Here is a 27821-nt window from a genome sequence, read left to right on the forward strand (position 1 = left end):
GTGTCCCTTGAGACAGGGGAAGAGGCTCCTGCCGCTGGCCACACTCTACTCTCATGTTTGAGCAGTGAAGGGCCCGGCCATGGTGACAGCTAAGCTTGGTCTCAGGAGGCCAGCAGAGGCGAGGATCCTGAGCCCCAGCAACAATGTGACAGCAACACCCAAGGCAGCCAACAGCCAGGCCTGGCAGGGTGGGTGGAAGGCCCGGGCTCTGGGAAGGGGCAGGGAAGCATCAGGACTGTGTGGCTGGGCCACACCCGGGCCCGCCTGGCAGGTCGCTCCTAGCACCTCCCACAGTGTGACGTGGACAGGGGAAGTAAGTGTTCCGCGAAATAACAAAAGGTGCTCTTGATTTTCAGGTTTTATTTGCCTGTTATAATTCTGATATTATGTACATATATATATATACTTTTGTTTTTTTGTAGAGGGCTTATCAGTAGACCAAGCACAGGCATACAGGGAGGCTGTGGCTGCTGAGCAGTGCTGGGAGAACCAATCTTTCCTTTTTTTTTGTCTGTTTTTATTTTTCCTGGGATGGGTTCATCAAAGCTAATTGCTATCAATCCTAGAAACCACCTAGGGACTCAGACATCTGCCTACACACTAGTGGCGTAAAGGGAAGGACAGGGGTACAAACTTTCAAAGTCACGGTGTATTTACATTCCCAAGGTGGGGGCGGGAGGAGGCTGAGGAAGACAACTGTTCAGACGATAGGGAGGGCAGGGCTGCTAAGGGGTCCTGGGGGGTGGGGGCGGCTGGAAGAGGCCGGCCAGTGGGCAGTGGGAGGAGGTGTGCCCGCCCCGCAGCCAGGTAGTGACGGAGGCCACTTGGATGTTGTGTGGTGGGTACCGAAGGCAGCGTGTGTATGGAGCTCCTGAAAGCCGGCCATGGGGTGGGCTGGGCGGCGGGAAGAGGCGGTGCTGCCAGAGTGCGATGCTGGGAGTGGGGGGACTCTGGGCTCTCCAGATGGCCTCCCCTGCCCCCGCGGCCAGTTTGCCCGGCTCCCATCCCGGTTGGAGCAGAGATGGCAAAGAAAAGACAGCAGATGGTGGGGACACCGAGTTCTGTTCCCAGTCCCAGCCAGGCTGGCTGGGGAGTGGCTGGGGGAGGGGGAAGGTGCCAACCCTGGTCCTGAGGAGACCCCACCATGTCTGCCCCCAGTCAGGGAGCAAGAAAGACAGCATTTCGGAGACCCTTTCGGGCCACCCCTACTTCTTCTCCCCCAAACCACAGCCTCTCTGCCCAAATGGGCTGGCAAAACAGCACCCAAAGGCCCCTGGCATGTGGGAGATCTGCCCAAGCTGGGGCAGAGCAGCGTGTGCCCAGGAAGGGGTGCAGCTGGGTTTTGGCAATAAAGTGGGGACCGGGTGGTAGGAAGGGGATCCGAGGCAGCAAGTTCTCCTCTGCCCCAACTCCAGCCTCCCATGGGCCTGCTGGAGAGGGAGGGGCCTGGATCCCAAGGCCAGGGGCACAGCATCTCCTGTCCTGGACTCCACTATTCTAGGGCCACGGCAGGGTTGATGGGGGAAGTGGCCCCTGAGCTGTCATTGCCCCCTGCCGCCTCCTTCTCCTTCTTGCCACTGTACTGGCCAATGAACGAACCATCCTCGTTGAACTGAACATCCACGCTGCCCCCATAATCGGCCAGGCTGTCGTCACTGCCCAGGGGCTTGATGTCCCCGTTGAGCGATGGCTGGCTGCTGCCAAAGGCCTTCTCCTCGTTGTCACTGCAGAGGCACAGGGCAGGTGCGAGTGAGAGCACTGCCGAGCCCCTGCAGGAGCCTGGCTGGGGGTGAGGCAGACGCCCGCCTGCCTTCCATTTGTTTAGAATGCGCTCAGAAAGAGCAGCTCTGGCCACCCTGGCAGGCAGGTCTGGAGCTGTCATCTTTGGGCATTCCCCAGATCCTGGGGACTGTGAGGGAGAAAATGTGCGCTCGGCCAGGGGATTATGGGGCCTGGTTCCTGTCTGGGAAGCTGTCTGGGGCCTCCCTTGGGGAGAGGGGAGCAGTGAAGGTATCTGTGTGGAGAGGAGGGGCTGGGGCGTGTTGGCCTCTCCCTGAAATGAGGAGCTGCCGGGCCTGGGGGCTGGGAAGTGAGAGTCCTGTCAGAGCCCCGGCAGCCAGGGGACAATGGCACACCAGGCGCACATTGTCTATAGGGAGACCTTGCTGTTGGCCCCTCCCCACCGCCCCTGCCTTACCTCTCCAGGGACCTGAAGTCACCCGGCAGCACAGAGAAGAGAGAGAGGGGGTGAGATGTGAAGGCCAGGGTGGAGCTGAGTGCCAGCACCCACTCCTGCCCCGGCTCACCTGTACTCGCCGAAGGTCTCATCTTTCATCGGTCGGGCCTCAGAGTCCACCTGGGTGTCCTCCTTATCCTTCACTGGAGACACAGAGAGGGACAGCTTCTTCTCCCGCCCCAGCCTGACCCGGGGCTCCAGGCCCCTCTACGCCCCGCACCCCCAGCACTCTGTCTCAACAGCGCCCAGAGGCAAGAGGCCTTGAAAGAAACCGCTCACCCCCTGCGGTCCAGCCACCACTTGCCTGTTGCCCCAACCCCGGCCTGGGAGGATGATCCCCCTGCCTGCCCCCACCATGCGCCTGTCATCTTGTGGGGAGCTCGGGGAATCCAGGAGGCCTTGCAGAAGGGTGGAAGGGGCGAGGTGCTCCTCTCTGCCCTCGGCTCCACCCCCGTCACGTGGGGCTCAGAGGCTACCTGAGTATTTGCCGCCCTTGCTGCGCTTGATGAAGCAGAGGATGAGCAGGACGAGGAGCAGGAGGATGATGGCACTCACAAAGCCGATGAACCAGCCCTCAGTGGCGAAGCCAGCAGGAGGGAGCCTCACGCGGCCTGAGGGTGAGACACCAGCCCCCCGTGCTGCCGCCCAAGCCAGAACCCGACCTGAGGCCCTGAAGTATGCTCTTAAAGTTGGGGCCCTCTGGGGGGCTAAGGAGTGACAGGGACAGGGAAAAGGGCATCTGCGGAAAGGGTATGAAAGGGGGCTGATTCGGGGACACCCAGATTCTGGGAGGAGAAGCAGACAGGAGCCGTGGAGGGAGCCTGGGCAGTAGTGGCCATTCAGGGGACAGAAGGACATGAATTGTGCAGCCCCCATGCTTCCCTGGCAGGTGATGGCGGGCCCCCGGCGCCTCACCTGTGCCATTGGTCTTCACAGCCATTTGGTGCCGGAACATCCTCTCCTTAAACAAGTGGATCTCGTAGTCAGTGTCAGGCTGCAGGTCCCACTGCGTGTAGGAGCTCTGGTTGTAGCTGACATACTGTGGCGAAAGGGAAGCCCCACCCTTCTCTTCTGCCAGGGAGAGAGGGTGGCAGCAGGGGTGAGTCGGAGTGCCAGGCAACCCCTCTGGCCCAGAGCCCCCTTCCCCACCACGCCCCAAGGCCCCCTTTCACGCTTACCTCCCAAGGCTTTGAACAAGATATGGAACCTGAAGTTGCACTGGCCCTCCTTGGGGACCCAGGAGACGACACTGTAGTTTTCACCCGCTGTGGCTGAGATGTTGCCAAAATCTGAGATCCCTGGGGGGATGCAGGGGAACGAGGAGAGTGTGGCAGCTGCCAGGAAGTCTAAGGCCCTCCCTCCTGGACCCGGCTGGCCGGGGCCTCCCTGTTGGCAGGTCATTCCTCCAGCTTACCAGACAAGGCCATAGTGCCTCCTTCCCGTACGATGGCTTCACCAGGGCCCTCTTTGGTGGTGGCCTGAAGCTGGAAGCGGTACCGCAGGTGGGGGCTGAGATCGGTCAGGTTGTGTGTCCGAAGTTCGGGGTCCCGAAGGTTGAAGGACAGTTGCCCCTTGCCCCCCTCATCCACTGTGGGGACAGACAGGGGTTGGCTGTGGCTGCAGCTCTGCCCCCTCCCCGTGGCCCCTCCACCTCCCTTCCCTGCTGGGGCGGCGCACGCACGGGGGTGGTAGGAGAGCACGTAGCCGGTGAGCACGCCGTTGTGGCTGAGTGGGGGCTGCCAGCGCAGCAGCAGGCTGGTGTTCGACTGGCACTCCAGGTGCAACGCCTCGGGGTGGCCAGGCACTGCAGGGCACAGAACCGAGTGGCAGGTAGGTCCTCGCCCAGGTCTGGGGAGGAGGGCAGGGGATGAGGCGTGGGGTGCAGGACTCACCTCCCTCTGGGGTGCTGAAGGTGAACTCGCTGGCGGGCCCCGATCCTCGCCCGTTAAAGGCCTGCACCTCCAGGTGGTAGGAGCTATAGGGCCGCAAGCCACTGAGGATGACACTGGTGGTGTTGGCGGGCACCACCACATGGTCTTTGTGGATATGTCTCTTGCTGTGCTTCCTCTGACTGCCCTCCCTCCAGTACGTCACCTGCACAAGCGAACAGGAGACCTCGCAGGGGCAGAAGGCACCCAGCAGGGCCCCCAGCGCACACCCCCACCACCCTTAATGGGGACCCTCCTCTCAACCCAAGTCTTCCAGGAGAGCGGCTGGCAGGTGGCAAAGCCCCCTCACCATCCTGTCGCTTTACCTCAGTGATCACCCTCCTGGGCCCCCATGCCTTCAACCCTTACATTGTATCCGCGGAGGTGGCCCTTGACCTGGGCCAGGTCCACCGGCCGCCACTTGACCAGCACGGCACTTGAGTTGAGGATTTCAATGCCTTCCAGCTCAGGGATTGCCTGGGGGTCTGGAAACCACCAGTGACTTGGATAGAGCCATAGGCTCTCACCCCAGCCCTGAGGCCAGGCCCAAGCCCCTACACACAGAGAAGACGAATTCGGATATTTTATGAGGTACAGTTTGAGGAGGAGAGGTGTGTTTGCATGGTCTCAAGATCTCTTCCTGGACTGCTTATTAGTTGCAAAGGTGAAAATAGTAGCTTATACAAAGGAGAAACCATGGCTGGGCGTGATGGTTCACACCCGTATTCCCAACACTTTGGGAGACAGAGGCGAGTGGAACATTTGAGGTCTGGAGTTCGAGACCAACCTGATCAACATGGTGCAACCGCATCTCTACTAAATACGAAAATTAGTTGGGTGTGGTGGCGCGTGCCTGTAATCCCAGCTAATCAGGAGGCTGAGGCAGGAGAATCGCTTGAACCCGGGAGGCAGAGGTTGCAGTGAGCCAAGACCGCTCCACTGCACTCCAGCCTGGATGACAGAGCAAGACTCCATCTCAAAAAAAAAAAAAAAGAAAGAAAAGAAAAGAAAAGAAAAAAGAAAAGAAAAAAAGGAGAAACCAGAAAAAAAACTTGACCGGGTACTTCAAGTTACCATCTGGTCATGTTCCAGATTCAAGGAAATGAAAGAAGCAGCATTGGCTGATATAACTGGAATACCGCTGCCAATTATAGAAATGTGAAGTGTGGGGAATTTCATAACGTCGCTCTGGTTATGTAAGAGAATATCCTCATCCTTAGGAAAGGCGCACACCAATGCTGAGAGGTGTGGACATGGGCTGGGGTGGAAGCAGGCGAGCTCAACCGTGGGCGAGGGGCCCTGCCGGATACTCACAGTCCTCTCCAGAGTAGCCGATAGTGACCTGGGGCTCTGGTCCCTTGCCCTGGCTGTTGACGGCCTGGACTTTGATCTCATAGGGCACGAAGGTGGACGTGTTGGACACCACCAGGAAGGGGTCGCTGACAATCTGCTCCTGCCAGGGCCCTCGTGTCCCCTGAGGGCGCCACTGCACGCGGTACTGAACCTGGGGGGCGTTCCAGTCCATCCACCGGAGCGGCTGGAGGAGGCCAGCAGAAGAGGAGTTGGTTGGCCAAGAACACCAGCATTCTTTGGCCCGCCCCCCAGCACAAACCAGCATCCCCAGACATCAGCCCCTTCCTTTGCATAGCCAAGGGGGAGCAACAGACACCCAGGTCATGGCCTCATGTCCCCCAGGCAGCTCAGCCCAGGGACTCTCACCTTCCACGTGATGACCATATTGGTGGTCTCATTTCCTTCCCCCTTCACATCCACAGGGTTCTTCTCTGGGGCTGGAAAGGAAAGTATTAACACATCAATGCTGCAGCCTCTTTTGGAGAGCCACGAGGACCGAGGGCCAAGGAACAAATGGCTCATTCTGGCACCAAGGGAGTCCAGCCCCCTCGCGCTCCCCCTGGAAATTTGGAAGCAGAGGAACTTGGGCATGGCACCTCTCTAAGCCCTCCCTTCACAGCCCGGAGCCCCTTCCAGGTGGCATGGGAGTGGGTGCCACCCTGACTCACCTGCCTCAGGTGTGACCACAGTCTCAGAGACCGGGCTGGGCTCCCCGGGGCCATATTTGTTTATGGCAGTAACCCTAAAGGTGTAGTGGACATAGGGCGACAGCTTGAGGGTGGTAGAGGTCTGGTTCCCTGGAACCTTGCCCAGACTGTACCATTTTTCAGGCGCCATTTCCTTGTCCTCAAATTCAATGTCATATTCTGCCAAGAAATGAACCGACAATGGAGTGATCAGCATGTGGCTTTGGGGGAAGGGCTGTGGAGGGGTTGGGTACAGTCTGGGTCCCTGATTACCCAGGCCAACTGGCATCTCCAGATTCCCATGAGGAACCGTGAGTCCCCCCAAACCGTGTCCCCCCAGGAAGGCTCCAGGAGGAGGGAGGACCCCAGGAGGGGCCAGGGCTGGCAGAAGTGACGGTGGGGTGGCACTGAGCTCAAGCCTCTTACTCTCAATGGGGGCATTGTGGTCTTCTGCAGGACTCCAGGACACGCGCACCTGGCTCTGCGTCAGCAGGTGCAGGTCGGACAGCACCAGCCGTGGCACCGGCCCAGGGCTCCCTGAGGGTGGGGAGGGTCGGTGCTTGAAAGGGCCCAGGGATGTGAGCCCCGGCCTTCTGGAGTGGAGGCTTCCACCCTAGGACTTACCCACCACCAAGAGCTGTGCCCTACTCTCCACCACATCCAGTTCGGTACTGGCCACGCAGCTGTAGTTGCCCTGGTCGCTGTAGTCCAGGCTGTGGATGACCAGGCGCCCATCCTCTATGAAGTACCTGCGGAGGAGCCGTGTCTGTCTTTCCTGCCATCTGGGCTCTTCTCCCCTCCCATCCCTCCCTCCTGTCTCCTTCCCCCGCTCCTGTCAGAGCCTTCCCCATCAAAGCAAGGACGAGGCCAAGAGGTCTGGACTTCCAGCTTTTCCCACTCTGCCCCCTTTCACCGTCACTGTCCTCACTTGTCACTGTCCCCAAGCTCCTGGAGGTCTCGACCGTCCCCACGCCAGGTGATGCTGGGCTGCAAGGAGGGGTCAAAGGAGGCCTGGCACGTGAAGGTCACCCTGGAACCTTTCTTCTCGATTGTGCTGCGGGGCCCCTGAGTGATCTGAGTTGCATCTGAGGGTAATGCGTGCGTGGGGAAGTCACTCTGTTGTCCTCCAGAGGCCCAGACCCTCCCTCCCAGAGGCACTGCCAGCCATGTGGCAAGGGTTGCCTGACCTTTAACCTTCAGGTTAGCCATGATGGTAACATTGTTTTGGTCATTGGCAGCCAGGCAGAAGTAGCGTCCGGTGTCATTGGCCTGGAGGTCTCGAATGCCCAGGGTCCCATTGGCATAGGGGAAGAAGCGTTCGTCCTGAAGCACTGTTGTCCCATCCTCGTCCAGCCTGGAGGGAGCAGGGCGGGCCTGGCTCTGACTGGCTGGCCTGGGCTCCCTGCCCTCCCTGGCTCCCTGGCCACTGGGACACGACACTCACCACTACCAGGACGAGACACTCACCACTGAACACTGGGCACAGGCGCTCCGAAGGCCTTGCACAGAAGGTAGGCAGTGCTGCCCTGGACAGCCATGTACGTCTGATTGTCCGCAGTCAGGATCTTGGCTGGCAGCTCTAGGGGAGGAACAGCCTCAGGAGACAGGGCAGGACTTGGGACCACAGCTGGGCCAGGAGCCAGGGACCCTCTGCACGGCTTCCTCGGGCCCCCAAGAGCCCTGCAAATCTTGCTTCCCTGCTCCCAGCTGAGGCCCCCGCCAGGCTGTGTCTCTCTCTGCCTTCAGACACTGCCCTCTGCCTCAGATGCGCCTCTGGTCACAGCCACCCAACTTTTACGTTATTCCAGGCCTAACTGACAGTCACCTCTCCCCAGAAGCCTTCCTGGCCTAGTCCCCAGCCTTCCCTGAAGTTCCAGGAGAGGTGCCACCTGGGCTGGCCTTGGTCACATCCTGTGGCACAGCGGTCCGCTCAGTCACAGTGACAAGACCTTTCCCCTCTTACATCTCCCTCGGCTATCGTGAGGCTGAGTGAGATGGGGCGAAGGGTGTCAGCAAGGAGAAAGGTCGGCGCCAGCCTGGTAGGCCGAGGACACATCAGCTGCCAGCTGAGCCACTCTGGTGGCCTGGCCCAGTGGGCTGCAGGGACAGACTGGGAGTTAGGAGGTAAGGAAGGGAGGGCACTCACGGACAACGTAGATGTAGGCATTGGCCAGCAAGAGCCCGTGCCGGTTGCGGGCCTCACATTGGGTCACCATTGTGTCACTGGGCTGCACGTTGCTCAGGATCAGGGCGCCACGCTGAATCCGGTACTTCTGGTCTTTGGCCAGCTCTGTGCATGCAGCAGGTGGGCCCATGGGCCACAGCCCGGCATTGAGCTGCGTTGAGGCCCTTCCTCACCCTCCTCTTCCTCTCCCCCACAGCCCCCAGGGCTCGCCACACTCCCCACTCCTGCCTGAGGCCCTGCTCACCCTCCACAGGGATCCCGTTGATTCTCCAGGTGACCTCTGGTTGGGGCCTGCCCTGGACTTGGCAGTCCAGGCGGGCAGTCTCTCCTGGCCCATATAGATGGCTCTGGGGCTTGTGCAGCCAGTACGGGGCAGCTGGGAGGAAGGGGAGAGCCGCCCTGAGCCCGCAGCCAGCAGCTGGCTCTTGACCCGGCGCAGACCCTCCCCTCCCCCATGACAGTGGGCATCACAGGCCACTGTCCCAGGAGGTCCATACCCTCCACGGTGACATAGTACGCATGCCGGGCACTGCCCAGTGAGTTCTCGGCCAGGCAGCGGTACTCGCCATCATCCTCCTCGCCCACTTTCAGCAGCTGCAGGGTCTTGTTGTGGTTCTGGTAGGTGACACGGTCGGCTGGCATGGGGCCACTGGGGCGCAGCCATTTGATGGTGGGCGTGGGACTGCCCGGGAGGCAAAGGGAAGAGAGCAGAAGGGAGAAAGGACAAGGCCAATCACCCCAGCCCCCTATACCCCGCGGTGGTCTGAGCTCCCTGCTAGGGCTCCGCCACCCTGCCCTGCCCTGCCCTGCCCTGGGTTCCCAGACTCACAAGCCCTCGGCGATGCACTCCAGGACCAATGGCTGCCCCTGCAAGGCCACCAGGTGGCTGCTGGAGTTGGTGGGGAAGAGCAGGCGCGGCTTCCTGTCAATCATGCTGTTGGCTGCCAGGAGAAAGTGGGTGGGTGGGCTGCCCACTCTTCCCTCCACCCCAGAATTGCAAGGCTGAGGGACTCGACACTCCAGCCAGCCCCCGGGGCCTCTGTGTCTTCCTCCATTAAGGAGAGTGTCCTGTCTCTGCTCTCGACGCCTGGGAAGGGGTCTGGGCAGGGTAGAGGTGGGAGCCAAGCTGTTCTTGAGGAAGCCTGGAGTTGTCAGATGGACCTATGGTGGGAAGGGCCATGCCTGAGGGTGAAAGGAGTCAGGGAGAGAGTGCAGAGCCTCTGAGACTCACTGGCCTTGACCCGGAGGTCAATGGGTTCCTTCTGAATGATGGTCCTGGTGCCTGGGAAGTGGGCGTGGCAGATGTAGTCTGAGTGGTTGTCGGAGGTGAGCACATTGGCAAAGTAGAGGTTGCCGTTCTGGCCCATCGTCACCCGCTCGTCCTGCTTGATGTGCAAGATCTCTGCAGGGGGCAAGGAGGCCGAAGTCATGACCCCGTCCAGGAAGACACCCCCGCTAACACCCCGACCCCACGAGGCAGCCGCTCGCCGGCACCCACTGCTGTTCATCCAGTAGATCCGGAGAGGCTCTGCACTTGGGGGAGGGTTGCAAGGCAGAACCACTGACTCCCCTTCCTCCACCTCCACGGGCTTCACTGTCTCCTTTGGCCACTTGGGGGCACCTAGAAGGGACAGACGGGCTGACACTCTCCTCCTGGTCCAGATGGTGCTAGGCAGGAGAAGGGAGGTGGGGGCAGGGGGGTGGCGGGCTACACCAGGGATGGACGAGGGGGCGAGAGGGTCAGGCCAGTAGAAACTTCACAGAAAAGGAGGCAGACACTCTGGATACCTTCTGGACTCATAGCAGAGACTAGCACTTAGGGAGGCCAGGGTGAGCAGGAGACCAGGAGGCCAGGAAGGGTTAACCTTCCACGGTTCTCAGCTCTCCCTGCCCACCCTAGGAAAGGACGGGTGGGGGGAGGCTGAGGCTGAGGTGCAGTGATGGGGGAGGGGAGCTGTGGAGGGATGCAGGAGTCACAGACCCTTCCATCATCCTGACACAGAAACCATGGCAACGGTTCCCAAGGTAACTGGAGGGGTGGGGAGGGGAGAGGAGAGCGCTCAGGAAGCAGAAAGCTCAGGGAGGATGGAATGCAAAGGGAAAACCCCAGGGAAAAGGCGACACAGATCAAGACAGAGCCGTGGAGCAAGAGAGACCAAGTCGGAGGTGGAGGGGAGGAGATGGAGAGCCAAGTGGAAAAGCCAGAGAAGAGGGGCCCTGCTAAGGAGTGCAGGTGTAGACAGAGATGACTGCAGTGACTCAGGCAGGTCTGCCCAGAATCAGTCACTCCCCCCACCAGCCCGCCCCCCCCTCCCCCCGCCACCTTCCTGCTCAGCCATGAGGCAGGCACCAGGAAAGCCTGAGGGAGTGAAAGGGCATGAGATGACCGGAAGTGCAATGGAGACAGAGACAGGGCAAAGGAGGAGACTGCACAAGAAACAAGATGGGCCAGGGGAGAAGCTGGGGTGGGGTGGAGGGCTGGCAGGACACCCAGGCCCCTCGCCACGAGACAACTGGCTGACAGCAGCTTCCAGCCCACAATCCCACACGAACTCCGGGACCTGCCCTCCCTGGTCCCTGCAGCGCCTCGCACCCTCGGCCATGAGCCGGATCTCATGGGACATGGCGGTGCCCAGCTTATTGCTGGCAAAGCAGCGGTAGATGCCCTGGAACCTCTGAGCAAAGTTGCTGTTGTTGCCCGTGATGGTGAAGGAGCCAGAGTGGGGCGACTGGTACACGGTCACACCCAGCTCTTCCTTGGGTTTGAAGTGGACACCATCCCTCGTCCAGCGGAACCTGTGGGCGGAAAAAGGCCCAGAGGCCTGAGGCCCTGGAACCCAACGGGGGCTGGAACAGGCTGGAGGGACAGGTGCAAGCAGCCAGGGCCCCCAGGGGATGGACTGGGAGATGGCGAGGACTTGGGGTGATTAGCAAGGTTTGGGGCTTCTGGGCTTAGAAGTTAGGCAGTCCAGGGAGGCACAAGGCCGGGGTCAGTGGCAGGCAACAGGGGCTGAGACGGCAGAGATCACTCACTGCACTTCGGGCTTGCCACTGGCCTCACACTTGAGGCTGATGTCATCTGTGGGGAAGACAACCAGGCGCCGTGGAGACTGTTCCGTGATGACAGGTGGCTCCATCACTGAAGACAGGGTGGAGAGAGCGGTGGTGAGGGTGCTGCCTGGCTGGTGTCATAGCCTCAGCACCTGTCCCATCGTGAGGGAAGCAGGGTCCAGAGCCCCTGGAGGCCCCATGGCCACAGGGGGACGAACGGAGGGGAAGAACAAAAGAGGCTTGTGGGACATGAAAAGAGGGAGAGAGGGGACAGCCACGTAAGTTACAAAGAGATGCCTGAGAAAGACAAAAAGGGTATGACAGAAAGAAGCGGGGGCAACAAAAGCCAAGACACAGAAACCAAGAAGGACAAACCCCAGACAGGGGAGAAGGGACCAGAGAGAATGGCAGAGAGGAACAGTGAGGGTGACAGAGTACCCAGGCTGGGGCAGAGACAGAACAAAGCCAGCCCCACACAGGTGAGAGAAGCACATGGTGCTCAGGGAGAGCCGAGCAGGGCCCCGGCACTCAGGAGGGCGGGGGTGCAGGCTCAGCTGAGGGCCTCCTTACCCTTCTCCTTGGCCTTCTGGGAAACACTCTCACCCCTCCCCAACTTACCATGGTGTCCTTCATCTGAGAAATCCAGGCAGGCAGCAAGGGAGGGAATGGAGAGAAATACTGACAGGCAGCCCCAGAGTGGGGCAGATGGCAGGGGACATAGTAAGCTCCTGCAGCCCCCCCGTGGAGAGGGAATGGCAGGAGAGGAGGCCCTGGCAGTGGCAACAAGGGGGCACACGCTGGGCTGGAGCAGTGGCAGGTCAAGCCCAGGGAGATGGGACAGAGAGATGCCCAGGGAGAGGAGCTCCACTGGATAGACACACAGGGCATGTAGCCCAGAGGCAGCCAGGCCATGCCTCCAGCTCTAGCAGACAGGGAGAGAGAAATTCTTGCCTTTAACAAGGAGTGTCCTTGCAGCCCCCTGGCAGGGCCTGGCAGGGCCTGCAGAACTGACCCCACCCATTCAGGATGCCTTGGAAGGCACCGTCCCCTGCTCCAGCCTGCTTCCCTCCTAATCCAATTAGCACAGCTGAGTGTTTTCAATTACCAGGGCCCAGCCTTCAGAGCCCTGCTGCCCCCTCCCCCTGAAAACTATCCCAAAGGCCCTGCTGCCTCTGAGTTTCCATAGCCTGCGGGGTTGGCGCCAGCCCTCCTCTTCTCCCTCCTTCCTCCCAGACAGCCACCAAGCTCTCTGGGGCAGAGGCCAGAGCTGCTGTCCCAGCCCCAGGACTCTGCAGAGCACTGGCCAGGGCGGCCTCGAGGAAGGGAGAAGAGGGAGGGAGGGAGCAGCAGGCTGCCTCTGAAAGCTTTGTCTCTGCAGAAGACCTCAGTGTGAAGGTCCAGGGAGGGAGGAGGGGGCTCCCTGGGGACACTGCAGAGGGCCCTGAGCTGGGGAGGGAGATGGTGACAGGGATGACAGGATGCAGAAAGCCAACTAGGTGGAGGAAGCAGGAAAAGAGACAAAGGGGGCTGGAGTGGCTGGGGAGGGAGAGATGGAAGACAGGTTCCAACAGGGAGGGCCGGCTGCCTGCCACTGCCCACTGTGTCGTATCAGGGTCAAGAACAAGTGCTGGTCAGTGACCAGGGCAGCCTTGGAGCTGCCATGGCCTTTTGGCCTAGTTCTCTCTCCCCACTCCCATCTTTCTGTAGAGAATGCACGGCTTGCATTCCACTGTACAGTGTTATATTGTGTATCCACCTCTGTGTCCTCTGGGTCTAAAAGCCTCACTGGTGTGTGTTTCCACCTGTGTGGCCTCTCAGCGGCTCTGCTCCTTCATCCCTGCACCTGCCTTGTCTTCATGCACCTGTGTGCATGTGTCCATGTGCATCTGTACCAAGGGAGTCTGCCTGGCCCTGGCCCTCCATGTATGTGTCTAAGGGGCCAGCCCCTTTACCTCCTCCAAGCCCTCACTGCCTCCCAACGCCAGGTGCCTCCCCAGCCTCTCTCTCGCAGCCCCTGTCCCACTGCTGGCACAGACAGTCTTCCCAACCCCTATCCGCCAACTCGTCTCTCAGTGACACTGGCCTCCTCCTTGTCCAGGCCCAGAGACAAAGGTGTCAAGGTGAGGCTGGGAAGGGACTGGAGCCTGGTAGCTCAAGAGACACAAATGCCCTCACACATGATACCCTGTGACATGCCCCTCACACGGCCTGACAGCTACTTACAGGAGAAAACACCATCACGGTAACACCCCCCACACGCAAGTGTGTACTTACATTCAGCCCCACTCACACATACACATGACCCAATGCAATCAAATGTCGTGGTCAAATACCTCCCGACCTCCACAAGCCTGGCCAGTAAGTAACAGAGTGACTCACACAGTCACCCATGTAAGGAAGTCAAAATCACATTCACGAATATCTACGCTCAGTCAATCACAAGAACACACAGACATACACAGTGTATCCATGCTTAATCACAACCCTACGGCCACACTCCCCAACATCCACTCACCTGCTTGTGCCCCCAACAAATGTTACAACCATAGACACATGCTCCAGCAGCCCTGCCCCCACCCCCACCAAATAACTACACACAAAAAAGGGTCCAGAAGGCTGCTGGGCTGGGACCAGGGTTTTTCAAGCCACCTTTTCCTGTCTCAGTTCAGAGACAGGGTGACCAAGGGCCCAGGAGGGGAAAGAGAAATGGGGACAAGACTTGAACACAGGCCTTTGCACAAGCCAGCTGAGGGCTGGGGACGACCCCATTCTCCTGCTGCCACACCCCTGTGGTGGGGGATGGAAGCGGAGGAGTCGGAGTGGGGCGGGCAGAGATGGGGCGGGCTAAGGAGAGCATGGAGGAGGCCCAAGACCTCGGGGCCCTGCTCCAGGTTCGCTGTCCCTGGTGCTGAAATCGCCCCGGCGGCCGCGCCTGTCCCTGTCCATGGTCCTGACACGCCCCGCACCTTCTACCCTGCCCTTCTCTCCGGGGGTACCCAACGTCCTGGCTATCTCCTGCCCACCCTGTGCCCAGGAAAGGCCAGGGAGAGGAGTCAGGGTCCGGAACAGGGAGAAGGTGAGGAGGTAGAAGATAAAGAGGGGCCCAACATAGCGGCGAAGGTAGGCGCCCAGGCTCCCTTCAGCTACTCACATTCCTCGGGGATCTGGATAAGCAGGCAGGGGCTGCAGAGGAGGAGAGGCCACACGTACCGCAGCGCCACGACCATCTTTCCCGGCGGCACCGCGCAGCACAGCCAGCCGGGCTCGGTTCAGGCTCCGGCCGGAGGGGAAGGGGGCTGGTGGGCGGCTTGGGGCGGGAGTTGGGAGTGGGGGCACTGGGAGAGGGGAGAAGGGAAGGGAAGGGTGGGGGAAGAGAGACGAGAGAACGGAAGGACGTTAGTGACTAACATCTGGGTAAGCCCGGGCTCTTGGCCCCGCCCTCAGCCCCGCCCCCAGCTGGCCGGCTTCTCCAGCCCTCCCCTCCCCATCCGCACCCCTCCCCACCTTGGAGGGAGAAATCTGGAAGAGATAGCCCTGGCTGGGCCTCTAGGTTGCCTTTTATTCCCTCTCTACTCTCTGTCTGCACCTTTCCTGCCAGCTGCCTTCCCAGCACCAACTTGTTGCCCCATCAGCTCCCCTGTGCATGGCATGCACATCCCCGTATGTGTCTGCATGTGCAGGTGTCCGTGGGCATGTGTGTGGTTGTGGATCTGCAAGCAGGGAGTGAGCTGTATGTGAGCTGGTATTTCTGTGGTGTGTCTTCTCTGGGAGGGGTTGCACTCATGAGTGGGTGTGTTAGTGTGTGTGCCTGAGGGAATCAACACACAAGTCTGCTAGCTACGTGTGTCTTCTTGTATGTCTTTATGTATCTGTGGGGATGAATCCCTGTATCTATTATCTCTGTGTGCACACACATGTAGAGAAGAATTCTTCTTGCAGTCACATTGCTATAGCTTTCAGAGCCAACTGATGCCTGGGTGCTGTACAGACCTAAAAAGCTAATGGGGGGATTGGGAAGTGGGATAGAGAAGGGAGGAAAGGGGCCCAAGATGGCAGCATTTCACAAAATAGTTTCAGGAAAATGAAGAAAGAATGGGGAAAGGGCCAGGCGTGGTGGCTCACGCCTGTAATCCCAGTAGTTTGGGAGGCTGAGGTGGGTGGATCTCTTGAGGTTGGGAGTTTGAGACCAGCCTGGCCAACATGGCGGAACCCCGTCTCTACTAAAAATACAAAAAGAAAAAAAATTAGCCTTGGTGGTGGGCGCCTGTAATGCCAGCTACTTGGGAGGCTGAGGCATGAGAATCACTTGAGCCTGAGAGGCGGAGGTTGCAGTGAGCCAAGATCGTGCCACTGCCCCCCAGCCTGGGTGATGGAGTGAGACTCTGTCTAAAAAAATAAATAAAAATAAAAATAAAAGGCCAGGCACAGTGGCTCATGCCTGTAATCCCAGCACTTTGGGAGGCCGAGGTGGGTGGATCACCTGAAGTCAGGAGTTCAAAACCAGCCAGGCCAACATGGTGAAACCCTGTCTCTAGTAAAAATACAAAATTAGGGCTGGGCGTGGTGGCTCACGCCTGTAATCCCAGCACTTTGGGAGGCTGAGGCAGGCGGATCATGAGGTCAGCAGTTTGAGACCAGCCTGGCCAACATGGTGAAATCCTGTCTCTACTAAAAATACAAAAAAAAAAAAAAAAAAAAAAAAAAAAGCCAGGCGTGGTGGCTCATGCCTGTAATCCCAGCTACTCAGGAGGCTGAGGCAGGAGAATCACTTGAACCCAGGAGGCAGAGGTTGCGGTGAGCGGAGATTGCGCCATTGTACTCCAGCCTGGGTGACAGAGCAAGACTCTGTCTCAAAAAAAAAAAAAAAGTTAGCCTGGCGTGGTGGTGCATTCCTGTAATCCCAGCTACTTGGGAGGCTGAGGCAGGAGAATCTCTTGAACCCAGGAGGCGGAAGTTGCAGTGAGCCAAGATCGCACCATTGCACTCCAGCCTGGGCAACAAGAGCGAAACTCCATCTCAAAAAAAAGAGAGAAAGAATGGGGAAGGAAGCCTTCCCTTGAGAACTGGTGTGGGAGAAGAGAGGAAGGAGGAAAACAACCCCCTGCTGCTCCTCAGCCCCCTGGGGGTCAAGAGAGGCCACTGAGGCCTCCTCCCTTCCAGATGCTCCAGGTTAGGGTCAGGACAGGGGTCAGGACAAGCTCTGGGACATTTTCCGTGACAGTGTTTCTAACACTTCTTGTGTGTCTCAAAGTCCCAATTTCTAGGTCTTTGTCTGAGTCTTCAGAGCTCAACTGCTGCATGTGTCCACCCCAAACCCAAGCCACACCGGCCATGTCCATATTCACCTACAAGTAAGGGGAGCCAAAGACTAAGGGTCTGAAAGAGGGGGCTCCTCTGACAATGACAAGAGGAAACAGACTCCCAAGTGGCCAGACCACTTCAATTCCAAACAGGAAGTGGTTAAAGTGCAGGCAAGGCAAGAAAGGGTGTTGTTAGGTGACAGAGCTTGGAGGCTGAAGTCCCAGACTAGACGCCTTCATTAAATCCATACTGTGCATCCTCCCTCTGCCCAGCCAGGACCTTATCAAAGCGGGCACCGAGCCTCAGCAGGAACACCGAAAGGATGGTAGAGAAGTCAGCCATGCTGTGCTAAGGCTCTGGGCCTTGTCAGTTTTGTGTAACAGAGTGACCCAAGAAGAGCTGTGAATGCGGCAGATCCCGTGGGGACTCTGGGCAAGAGCTTGCTGCAGAGGGTGGTGGAGAAGCAGCAGGGTGGGTCAGCGTGCATGGCCTGGAGGCCAAGAGATGACTTGGAGGGTAAGAAGAGTGATTCCCAGCCTGCAAGAGCTGGACCTGGGCCCAGAAGGGAAGAGCAACAGTGGATCTGTTCCACCCCGGCCTCTCCCTACAAAGCCAGTGGATCAGGGGAGGCCCCAGGCAGCACTGGCCTCAACTTCAAGGCCTGTAGGAGCAGTAGGAGACTCGGATCAGAGAGCAGATGATCAAACAGCAGCCTTGGGAGCTCTGAGCACTGGTCTTAGGAGGGGGAGGGGAGGAAACCGGAGCAAGGAAAAGCTCAAAGAAGGACCCTCCTGCATGTCAGAGGCTTTTGGGTGCTCTGGAGGTCGATAATTTCTGCCACGCAAGTTCCTCTATTTGTCCTCCAAATCTAGAATCCTGGAATGGTGTTTGGCATGTACGCTCAGGGGAAATACAATATCCCCAAACCCCTGGTCCCCGCTCCCTGCCCCATCCCAGCCCCATCCCATCTCCCCACAGGCTCATATCCAACTTCTTTTTTGGTCTCCCAGTATTTGCCACCTAGCTTGCCACCGCCCTGGGCAGTCGGAGACAGGCAGGAAGCAGCCAGAAGGTTGCGAGATATAACAGCTGGGAGGGGGCGCTCCCTCCTCTCCTCCCACTGCTGCTGGGTCTCTGATCTCTCACCATTCCTCAGGCAATTACAGAGCAAGCAGCTAGGGTTGTCAGCTCAGCAGGCCCTCTACCCCCCACCAGCACCACTAAGGGCAAAGGAGCGGGGAGGGGGGAGTGTTCCACAGATGGAGCCAAGGCCGGGTCTGCCAAGGGTGACAGACAGAGTGAGAAGAGGCAGGGGGGAGCAGGAGACAAAGACAGACGTAGGAAGACAGCGCTAACCACGATGGAGATGGTTAGGGGGTGGGGAAATTCCGAAACGGAGACCCAGGCAGCAGAGAAAGGGAGAGAAGAGGAAACCGGAGCACAAAGGGTGAGAGGCAGCTGCAGAGTGCGCCGCTGAGAAATGGCAGAAAGAGCGAGAAGAGTGAGGGGTGGGGGTGGGCGTGTGCACGTGCGCGTGCGCGCAGGCCGCCTGCACAGCGTCCTTGTCCCTGGGGGCTGTGCCAGGCAAGGGGCGGGGAGGAGGGAAGATGGGCCTGGGTCAGTGGAGGGGCTTCCCGGCGTGGACGTCACGCTGGCCTGGGAGCAGGGTAGAGAGACAGACAGAGGGTGGAGCAGCTGTGAGCTGGGGCCGGAGGGGCCTACAAAGCCCCACGCAACAGAGCATCAAGGCCCTGCCCACTTGTGGCACTGGGCAAGGGACGGCCGTGAGACAGGATGAATGGCACACTGCTGGCTGACCCATGCCATGCCAGGGAACAGGTGGGGGTCGGGGGATTCCTGCTGCGGGTAGGAACGGGGGGAGGGGGAAGCACCCAGAAAATCCCAGGGAAGCCTTCCAATATTGCTGCTGGCTGGGAGTAAGTGGTCACCTGGCTGGAGGAGACGCACATGTGTTAGGCCAAGAGTGAGCCTGCGTGACCATGCACTGAGTGGACAGTGGCCGCTGTGCTGGGGCAGTTGAAGATGGGGCCATTCCTGAGTAAGTCCGGTCCCAAACCCATCCTCCCCGGTGGGAAAGGGCCAGGGAGGCAAGGGTCACGCCCAGCAGCCTACAGGGAGGGGTTCAGCCCCAGAAGAGCCTTGCCCCATCCCACCCCACCTGGCCTCCCACTACACCCGCAGGTCCCTCAGGGAGTCCTCTGTCCTCTGCTCCAAAGTGCCTGCTTTGGTCTGATGGGAAGCAGCTTGCCAGGGAGGGACCTGGGAGGTTGTGGAGCCTGGCTAGACCTGGAGTGACTGCCTCCTCCCTGAAAACACACACACACACCCCATCACCACCACCACCACACACCTTGAGAAGGGAACCTCCAGCGGTGCCCTGCACATGTGCCCTGCACACCTGCCTGTCAGTTCTCAGGTTCTGCCTGGAGTTCCTCTCAAAGGAGAAGCAACAAGAGAGCCCTTCAACAGCACAGCAGAGACTATCCGGCTTCTCCTGCCCTTGTCTCCTGGGGACATGGTGCCTGGTGACTCAGTGGGCCAGAGTGGGGGTGGGGCTGGGGGCTCAGCACAGGGCACATGAAAGGGTCAGAGTGTGGTGCTGGGCCCATGTGCTTGCAGGCCTGGGAGCCTGGGGGGCTTCTGTGCCTGTTGGTGTGTATACGATGGTGTGGGTGTCACCTACACCCTGTGCACTGTGTCCCTTTAAGGCTCCCGCTGGCCCTCCCCGCCCCGCTCCCCAGGCCGTGGCTGGCGGGTTTCTATGGTGATGCAGCCCAAGTCCCAGAGGTGGGGGAAGCCAGAGGAAAGCCTTGTTATGTGTTATGTAGACAGCACATAAAGGGGGCTGCTCCAGGGAGCCCCCACAGGTACCTGGGGGCCCAGAAGTCCTTTATGACTGCTGCTTAGTCCCTGCACTCCCAACCTCACCCCTCCCTAAGAGGGTACCCTTAGGAGAGAGTGAGCCCTCAGCCCCCTCATCTCGCCTGAGGCTTCAGTCTCCAAGGCAACTACAACTCACCTGTAATGGACCATTCTCCTTAAAAGATGGGGAAAAGAGACGGAGGTTAACCCTTTGTGGGGTTCAGGGAGGACGGTCTTGACTACTGGGGAAGGGAGGGAGGAGCCCCACTCCATCCCCACAATCACATGCCTCTGTGGTCTGTTCTATTAAATCAACTTACAGCGTGGACTTACCACGTACCAGAAAGCCTCATGAGCACTTCCACTCACATCCACTCATCTCCTCCCCAGATTTGCCTCAGGGAGGGAGGTGCTATCATCATCCCCATTTTACAGATGAGGACACGGAGGCTCAGAAAACTGGAAACTGTGTCCAAGATCACAGAGCTGGCACTGGGTCTCAGCAGGGGTGGGGTTTTAGAGGGCGTGGTGGCTCCCTAAGCTGCCTCTCAGAGGCTCTGGCATCCCAACATGTGTGCCTGCTGGGCTTCCCAGGGAACCAGGGGCCTGGGCGAGGATGGCCTCCAAGCCATCCTGCCCCGTGGGGAGGGCTTACTTGCCAGGCAGATGGCAGGCAAATGTCGGGGGCAGGGAGTGACATCTTGGGATGGAGGCCATGCGGAAGTAGGATGTGATCAACATCACGTCTCAGCACAGAGCTGAAGCCCGACACCAAACAAACCCCCAAGTCCCCCATCCAGGTACTCAGTCCAAGAGAAGGCCAACTCCTTTCCCTTTTGGGCTTGGGGACAGGCTGGTTTCTTGGTCCCCTCTTCTGCTCTCTGGAATCTGGACTTGTTCTGATACCTTTCTTGCAACCAGAGGCTCCAGAACCCCTCCCAAAGAGGCCCCTCTCCAATCAGCATTTAGGGACAGCAGTGGCCCCATTCTTGTGTCGAAGGAGATACTGATGCCCAGCAGGCGGCAAGGCTTCAGCCTCCGAGACCCCTAGAAGGCGAGAGAAATGAGGTGGCAGCAAAACTAGGGCTCCTCTCAGGCCCCAGGCCTCCTCAGGGAGCTAGGATGACCCTAGCACTAGAGGGGGCTTCAGCGGCCAGGCCAGAAGGAACAGACTGCATCCAGTTCCTGGGGCTGTGGCCTGAAAAGGAGAGCAGGGAAGGAGCCCAGCCTGGGGCAGGGAGAGGCCCTGGCCCACAGCAGTCCTGGGATACCTAGCCTGTGTTGGTTTGCGGGGGGCGGGGTGGGGGTGCCTGGAAACAGCTCAGACACTGCCAGGCCCCACGGGCCCCCTCCAGGGGCCCCACTCCCGAGGGGTTAAAGGGCAGAGGGGGACACAGGAAGCCCGGGGGCGGACAATGGGGCCTCTGTGATCCCCAGGGCTTGGGCATTCCTAAGTCATGAACACAGACGCAGATGGCTGGGAGACAGGGCCACAGGGAACCCCCCTCCACTGAAGCACAGCCTGGGTTGGCCAGAGGCTCTGTCCCCATCCAGCCACTGCAGCAGCCACCCTCAGCCCCACCCCTTCCCAGCACAGGCCCTGTTGGGGCATCTGAGGAGACCCACGTGGCCTCATGACAATATGTGTGTGCATGCTGGTTCACGAACACACACACACATGCAACCAAATATATGACCCCACCCAGACAAACAGGAATACTGGAGGTTACACACACACAAATACACACACACAAGCAGAGACACAAACCCCATACATGCAGATAGGAAGTCTGCCTGGCTGGAGGGCAGGGGGCAGAGGGGCTCCCGGGACTCAGTCCCTTTCCCTCAAGTTCCACTCTCAGACCCGCACTGGGATGGACGGGTTCAGAAGTCCTCTTTGGCCAAGTGCATGGAGCCCAGGACGCTGCCACCCTCCTGCCCCACCCAACCCCTGGCCCTCGCAGCTGCCCCTGCTGGGTGTAAGGGCCAGAGATGAGCAGGAGCTGCTGACTGACAGTGGCTGGGCACTCCCTCTGCAGCTTTCCAACCTGGGAAGAACACGGGGACCTGGGCTGGGGGCCACTGGACAAAGAAAAGCTTCTAGAAAGAACAGCGGCCAGACCCTCCCCAGCTCCTCCCTCTTTTTCCAGCCACAGCCTTCAGGAAGCCACAAAGACCCTGTTGATATCTGGGGAAGAGGCAAGCTGGGCGGGCTACCTCCCCCAGTGCTCGTCTGGCTGCTGCTCACCAGGCACCCCCCATACAGCCTTCCACTCAGACAAGGCCCCCATGGGGGGTCTGGGCCCAACCCCAAGGCGTAGAGTCCAGCAGAAGGGTGCTGAGTGGCTGCTGGACAGGGCACAACCTCAGGGCCCTCAAGGGTGAGGCAGGGGCAGCTGGGGGGGACAAGGAGAGGAGCAGAGCGGTGGAAGACAGACAAAAGGGTAAGCAGAGAGATGGAGCAGAGCCCTGACGGGAAGGGGGAAGAGGGAAGGGAGGGCCAGGCAGGCAGAGGCAGAGGGAGGAGACGGGGAGTGGTGCACCCCATCCCCGGCAGCAGCAGGCTTCTGCCTAGAAGGAGGAGGAAGGTGATGGCCCTGGGGGTGGGGCACAGGGAGACGTGGGAGGCTGCAGAGGAGAGAGCAGGGGGGCGGGGGAAGCAGGAGAAGGAGGTGTCCGAGATGGGCCAGATCAGAGCAAGTAAGACAGCGACTGCAGGGGCAGGGATGCTGCAGGCCCATTCCAGATGGCCCCACCCAGGGACCCAGCCCCAGCCCATTGCAGGGGCAGAGGACAGGGCAATGAGCACCCTGCTGGGGACCCTAGAAGGGCATCCAGACCCCCCGCCTCCCCCACTGTCTGAACCACGAGGGAGGGAGGCAGGGCCCCCACTCATGCCCCCACTCATGCCTGGCAGACCAGGGTCTTGGCTGGGATCCCCATCCTGGCAGACCTCCTCACAGGACCCCACCACTACCCCAGGTTCTCCCATGAACGTGCCCTCCTGGAGCCTGGGCCACTCTGCGAGGCCGCATCACCCTCACACCCAGAAAAGCACTCAGTGCAGCCATTTCGAGCTTTGAAAGGGAACTTGGTGATCAAGGTAGGGCACACAGGCCTGTCTCCTCGACCCTCACCTGCCAGTCCTGGCCAGGTGCATGCCAAGGAAGGCGCCAGCTGTAGTTCCAGTGGTGGAAAGGGCTCGGACCTGGGAGAGGCCGATTGGGGGCACAATCTGGGCACCCTGCTCACTGTAGGAGCCCTCAGGCCAGGCCCTTCCTCACTCTTTGCCTCCCTTTTCCCTTCAGATAATCATCAAGAAAAAAGAAAACAAGTGACACCCCACGAAGACAGGGACAATGCTGGTCCAGTTTGTCACTGGCTCTTCCATGGGCAGCCCAGAGCCCGGCCCAAAGGAGCACTGGCCATGAGCAGCTGCCCAGTACACGACTGCCCATCGCTGGGATCCTGAGCGCCTGGGTAGGGAAGCTCTTCACTGGCTGCAGGGCAGGGGACCCCGCCACCTTGAAGCGCTGATTGTCCTCCTGATGCTCAGCAGGGAGCTGGCAGCTGGGAACTTGGGGAGGAGCCTTTTAGGAGCGCGGTGTAGCAAACCAGGGAGGCTGGGGCGTGCTGAACGTGTTTCCCTCTTGGTGATCAGATCACTAGCGATTCTTAATTTCTTTTGTTCTTTTCTGTATATTTCAAGTGTCCTACAATAAGATGTATTACTTTCGGGATCATACACACACAAACATCAATAAATATGGAGAGAGACTCAGATGCAGCAGAGAGAAATGACCAGGAGCCAAGGAGGTGGGAAGGTCCCAGGCCCAACCCTGCCCCAAACTTCCCATGTGGCCAAGACAGCCGAGTCCTCAAAGGCTCTGGAGCCCTCAGGTGTGCACATGTGGGCACTGCATGGGAGCTGTGCCAGGGGAGAGGCCAGGCTGGGCCAAGTCCCACCACCTGCAGCAAGGAGCTGACGGGAGGGGAGAGGCCCTGGGGAGGCCCCCGCCCCAGAAAGATGATGCTGGGCAGCAGCCCCCAGGGGAAGAAGGGCGGACTGCACTGATTTACGTCAGGGCCACATGAGTCAGCAGAGATGGCACTGGGCTGCCCCGATGCCCCTGCCCTCAGGGTGGGGTTAACAGGGGCAGGGTATCTACCTGGGGGGTGCCAGGCCCCCACTCCTTCTGGAGAAGGGGGCAGATGGCTCTAGGCCTGCCTTCCTGAGAGGGACAGTGATAGGTGGGGGGTCCAGATACCCTGTCGGGGGCAATGGATTGTAGTGCGTGTTCTTTGCAATCCCTGCCAACCAAGAGGCCCCAAAAGTCTGACCTGGAATGGAGGGAATAGGAATCGCTGACCCCTCCCATAACCGCACAGAGATAGGAAGATGTGGCAGTGGGCAAAAGACCTGCAGTGCGCAGGGACCGCCTGAGCCAGTGAGGCCCACCTTCCCTCACCCCTACCTGATGGACCCTACCTGATGGACACCCATGCACGGGAGGCACAGCAGTGGGTGCCCGAACCGACCTCACCCACTCCAGCCCTGACTGGCCACAGAGCCTGTGGAAACGGGCTCCAGAGGCGCCCTACGCCTCCGGGGAGGAGCCCCTGGCTCTGCGGCAGGTTTTCGGGTGAGCCCGGAGGAGCCCAGGCTGGGATTTGGAAAGAAGAAGGAGGAGAACAAAGCCCCCCCAACCTTGGGGCGGAGGGGCAGGCAGCGCCCAGTCCCGTTCACTCCCCTCCCCCCATTGCAGGGGCGGCTTATCCCGATCTACCCCTCACCACGCTGTCAGCCGGGATTTTCAACCAAACTGAGCTCTCGGCTGGGGATGAGGGGCAGCCACGCCCAGGGCCACACCCCACGGCGGCCTGTGGGGGAGCGCTCGACCCGATCTGGCTTCCTTTCTCAGACACGCACACACGCACGGGGACCCGCCAACTTCAGCCCCCGCCTGCCCACACAGACCCTGCCTGACGCCCCCCGCCCTGTTCTCCCGCCCAGGCCAGCATCTGGGGCCCCGCAGGTTACCCCTCACCTGTCGGGCTCGGGCACCCGGCATCCCTCCCCCGCCCCGCTTACAGCCCGCGGTGCCCGGAGCCCGACGCCCGGCATGGGTGGGGCTCCGGCAGCAACGCCGGTTACCGCGGGCCGGACCGGGCCGGGACTCCCTGGTCCGTGCACCCCGGGCAGAGCGGTGTGGTGTCGCCGGGGGATCGCGGCCGCGGCCCGGGTCGCACGGGGAGGCCAGCCCGCCTTACCTGCGCTGCGGCCACCGCTCGGGCTGCCCGCCCAGCCTCCGCGCACGCCGGCCTCGGACCCGCCGCCCGAGCGCGTCTGCGATGCCGATGCTGCGGCAGCAGCGGCTGTGGCGGGGCGGGGCGGGCGTGCGCGCAGGGGCGGGGGAGGGGAGCGCCGGGGAGGAGAGGGAGGGAGGAGTGAGATCACCTCCCCGGCCGCCCGCCCCGCCCCGCCCCGCCCCGCCGCACCCTAGCCCCTGGTGCCAGCCGAGCGCGGCTTGGGCTGGGGGCCCCCGGGCAGCCCACTCCGGGAGCTCAGCGGGACCCCAGCCGACGGGTCCCGCCAGACCCCCTTCCCCGCAGACCGGGAGTCTCCGGCCGGAGAGTGTCCTCAGCCCCAGCGCAAGGGAGCCCGCTGTGAAAGCTCGGAGCGGGAATCGCGGGGCGAGAGTGCTCCCAGAGGCCTGGGGCCGGGCGGTGGAGAGAGGAGTCCGGCAAGGAAGGGGATGCTCCCTTAGCCTCGGCCTGGCCCTCGACGGCGCCGGCCAGCGATGGGCACCTGCACGCAACGCCCCCCCAACACACACACACAGGGCAGGACTCCCGGGACCTCTCCCGAATGCCCCCCGATCCTGAGGGCCCAGTCAGGGTCCTGTTGGGAGGGGTGCGGGGGCTTCGTCCTCAGCGTGTTGGGGAGGCGCCGCGGAGCACCGGCTCCTGCGCACCCCAGAGCCCAGGTGGGCGGCAGGGTAGGAGGCGAGCCCAGGGGAGACAGGGTCTGGGAGAGGGTATCCCTCGAACTGCCACCCCCAACTCCCAGATTTTCCTCCAGCTCTCTGGTGTCTTATTTCTTTGTCCTCGGGATTGGCCCCATTCGACCTTTCCCGCCGACTCCACTCTCTCCCACTCTCCCCCGCAGCCCTGCACAGGATCGAGAAGGAAGGAGCTCCTCCCCAGTGCCCCCTCCTAGGCTCAAGGCCATGACCTCACAGGCGAGGAAGCAAAATGGAGGGGGTAAGAATTCCGGAGCCGGCGAGCTGGCTGCAGCCTCAGGGCTAGGAAGGCCTAGGGCCCCGATGGCAGATTGCAGATCTGGCGGCCACGGTATTTTTATGGGCATGCCTGTTGCCCAGTGAAGCATTCCAGGGGCCCTCGACTCAGTCTCACAAGACTCCCCAAGTGGTGTGGGGCCCTGGAGGGCCCACATGGGAGCAGCCCTGGCATCCTGGCTTGGATGCCCCACCCCCATAGTGCCAGCTTCAGTTCCCCTGGAATGGGAAGCTTGGGGTGGACCCATCTGTGCTCAGAGAGGGTCTGGATGCCATGTTTGCCCAGCCTTTAGGAGGAGAATGGACAAGACTAGGCACCTGAGTGAAGACGGACGGCTAGGGAGACTGCTTCCAGAGTGGGGGCACTTGCAGGGCATCTTCAGGTGACAGCAGAGGAAACTGAGCCCGCCTGGGTCACGAGGCCAGCAGGCTCATGAGCTGGGCCAAGAGGGCGTACTTTCCATGAGGCACTGAGCTGTGGTCAGCTTCCTGCCTTTGCTGATCTGAACTCTGATAGGCCTCTCTCCTTTCCAGTTGCTGCCTCCACTCACTCCCTACGTTCCCAGCCTTTCCTCCAAGCCCCAACTTCTGCAAATCCTTTACCTAATCTAGGGTTTGATGCCCATCAGGATGGTGAAGTAAGCAGGGAATAGAGCCCGTTTATACGCACCTGCTAATGTGTAGTGATGGGTCCATTTATGGTAACAAAAAATTCATTACTAGGATTACACGACATCACATTTCCTGAGCACAGCCATGGACCTGCCATCGTTACATTTCCTGCACATTTAAATTGCACACCAACCTGGGGAGGTCTGTTGAAGCATTCGCCCCACGTTACAGATGAGAAAACCAAAGCCCACAGAGCTCAAGGCTGGGTCCAGCAAGCACAGTTAGGAAGGTCTCTTTCTCTCCACTGGCTCATTGCATCCACACACACACCCCAGATGATGGTGCTGTTATTATCCTCACTCTCCCAGTGAGGTACCCAAGGTCCAGAGAGGGGCAGTCATGCAACCAGGAAGAAATTGGCACTATCAGTGCCCCCATTTCACAGATGAGGAAACCAAGGTTCAGAGGGGTCAAATGACCCACCCAAGATAGCCCAGAAGGTAAATGGCAGAACTCGGACTTGAATTCCCTTCTGCTTGACCACGATGCCCATTCTCACTTCCATGTAATGAAGTGGAGGAGCCAATGGGAGCAAGAGCAAGAGTGACAGAAGACCAAGGGCAGAGCAAGTCCCAGGAGAAGCAGGAGGGACTGGCCCTGAACAAGAGGCAAGCCACCCCCCCACTGCCATGTGCTTGCTGTTGGAGGTTAGGGGGACACCAAGTAGACAGATGACTGTCTCTTTCCCTTCAACGTCAAGTGCTTCTCACAGCCCTGCTCCCTGTGACCCAGCCCTCATAGACACAGTGGACTGGACAAGGGAAGCCCCAGACTCTGACCCTGTGATGAGCATGCAGAAGACGCAGAAGCCACAGACGACAGTGGGGCAGTAAGGAAGTGCCAGCAGGCAGGCGGGGTGGGCTCAGCCAGACGTGTCTTTCTCTGTTCTCCTTTCAATCTTTCTGTGTCTTCATATCTCAGGTGTAGCGCTTGGAAACAGCACATAGTTGGGTTTTGGTTTGGTTTGATTCTGTCTAACAATTCTTGTCTTTTTAAAAATCAGCTTTGAGACCTGCCTGGGCAACACAGCGAGACCACGTCTCTACAAAAAAAATTTTAAAATTAGGCATGGTGGTGCATGTCTGTAGTCCCAACTACTCAGGAGGCTGAGGTGGGAGGATCGCTGGAGCCCAAGAGGTTGAGGCTACAGTGAGCCATGATCACACCACTACACTCCAGCCTGGGTGACAGAGTGAGACCCTGTCTCAAAAAAAAAAAAAAAAAAAT

The 27821-nt window shown here is 59.9% G+C and overlaps 1 protein-coding gene and 1 long non-coding RNA gene across 5 annotated transcripts, besides 4 other annotated features; one reads left to right on the plus strand and one right to left on the minus strand.

Annotated features, from left to right (window-relative positions):
• On the minus strand, positions 344-25003 carry L1CAM (L1 cell adhesion molecule). Of its 4 annotated transcripts, NM_001278116.2 has the most exons (29): positions 24895-25003; positions 14591-14774; positions 12058-12072; positions 11422-11527; positions 10982-11184; positions 9887-10009; positions 9620-9790; positions 9218-9329; positions 8886-9070; positions 8633-8764; positions 8350-8493; positions 7671-7782; positions 7391-7557; positions 7132-7288; positions 6828-6952; positions 6630-6740; positions 6186-6383; positions 5884-5954; positions 5479-5701; positions 4534-4649; positions 4129-4330; positions 3918-4040; positions 3651-3824; positions 3415-3534; positions 3152-3307; positions 2713-2847; positions 2307-2379; positions 2198-2209; positions 346-1724 (listed from the first exon to the last, which is right to left on the minus strand). In NM_001278116.2, the coding sequence occupies exons 2-29, from the start codon at positions 14664-14666 to the stop codon at positions 1493-1495; spliced, it is 3774 nt and encodes a 1257-aa protein (NP_001265045.1). In that variant the 5' UTR covers positions 14667-14774; positions 24895-25003; the 3' UTR covers positions 346-1492. The 4 variants fall into 4 exon arrangements, with proteins under 4 accessions (NP_076493.1, NP_001137435.1, NP_001265045.1 ...); NM_000425.5 differs by lacking the exon at positions 24895-25003 and having other exon boundaries at positions 14591-14844; NM_024003.3 differs by lacking the exons at positions 2198-2209; positions 24895-25003 and having other exon boundaries at positions 344-1724.
• Positions 1403-2261: an enhancer, noted in NCBI's record as "H3K4me1 hESC enhancer chrX:153128028-153128886 (GRCh37/hg19 assembly coordinates)". NCBI's record gives its function as "activates a minimal SCP1, AML or CMV promoter by ChIP-STARR-seq in naive H9 embryonic stem cells {active_cell/tissue: H9 hESC(naive)}" and the evidence as "EXISTENCE:reporter gene assay evidence [ECO:0000049][PMID:30033119]".
• Positions 2262-3120: an enhancer, noted in NCBI's record as "H3K4me1 hESC enhancer chrX:153128887-153129745 (GRCh37/hg19 assembly coordinates)". NCBI's record gives its function as "activates a minimal SCP1, AML or CMV promoter by ChIP-STARR-seq in naive H9 embryonic stem cells {active_cell/tissue: H9 hESC(naive)}" and the evidence as "EXISTENCE:reporter gene assay evidence [ECO:0000049][PMID:30033119]".
• Positions 18365-18424: an enhancer, noted in NCBI's record as "active region_30041". NCBI's record gives its function as "activates an Ori minimal core promoter by ATAC-STARR-seq in GM12878 lymphoblastoid cells {active_cell/tissue: GM12878}" and the evidence as "EXISTENCE:reporter gene assay evidence [ECO:0000049][PMID:35858748]".
• Positions 19502-27820, plus strand: L1CAM-AS1 (L1CAM antisense RNA 1). The gene is made up of 7 exons (NR_130768.1): positions 19502-19548; positions 22541-22726; positions 22778-23103; positions 24193-24266; positions 24638-24807; positions 25793-25887; positions 27327-27820. It is a non-coding gene; the product is annotated as a L1CAM antisense RNA 1 (long non-coding RNA).
• Positions 20398-21395: an enhancer, noted in NCBI's record as "H3K4me1 hESC enhancer chrX:153147023-153148020 (GRCh37/hg19 assembly coordinates)". NCBI's record gives its function as "activates a minimal SCP1, AML or CMV promoter by ChIP-STARR-seq in naive H9 embryonic stem cells {active_cell/tissue: H9 hESC(naive)}" and the evidence as "EXISTENCE:reporter gene assay evidence [ECO:0000049][PMID:30033119]".

This window comes from Homo sapiens, chromosome X, assembly GCF_000001405.40.
Source record: "Homo sapiens chromosome X, GRCh38.p14 Primary Assembly".
Lineage (NCBI taxonomy): Eukaryota > Metazoa > Chordata > Mammalia > Primates > Hominidae > Homo > Homo sapiens.

Bases quoted from the DNA above. Each gene is read 5' to 3' on its own strand.
- L1CAM (NM_001278116.2), bottom strand. From the start codon at position 14,666: ATGGTCGTGGCGCTGCGGTACGTGTGGCCTCTCCTCCTCTGCAGCCCC. The intron at 11,185-11,421 runs GTGAGTGATCTC...TTCCGCCCACAG, and splicing joins AGTGGCAAGCCCGAAGTGCA to GTTCCGCTGGACGAGGGATG. The intron at 10,010-10,981 runs GTGCGAGGCGCT...TGTCCCTTCTAG, and splicing joins GATCCGGCTCATGGCCGAGG to GTGCCCCCAAGTGGCCAAAG.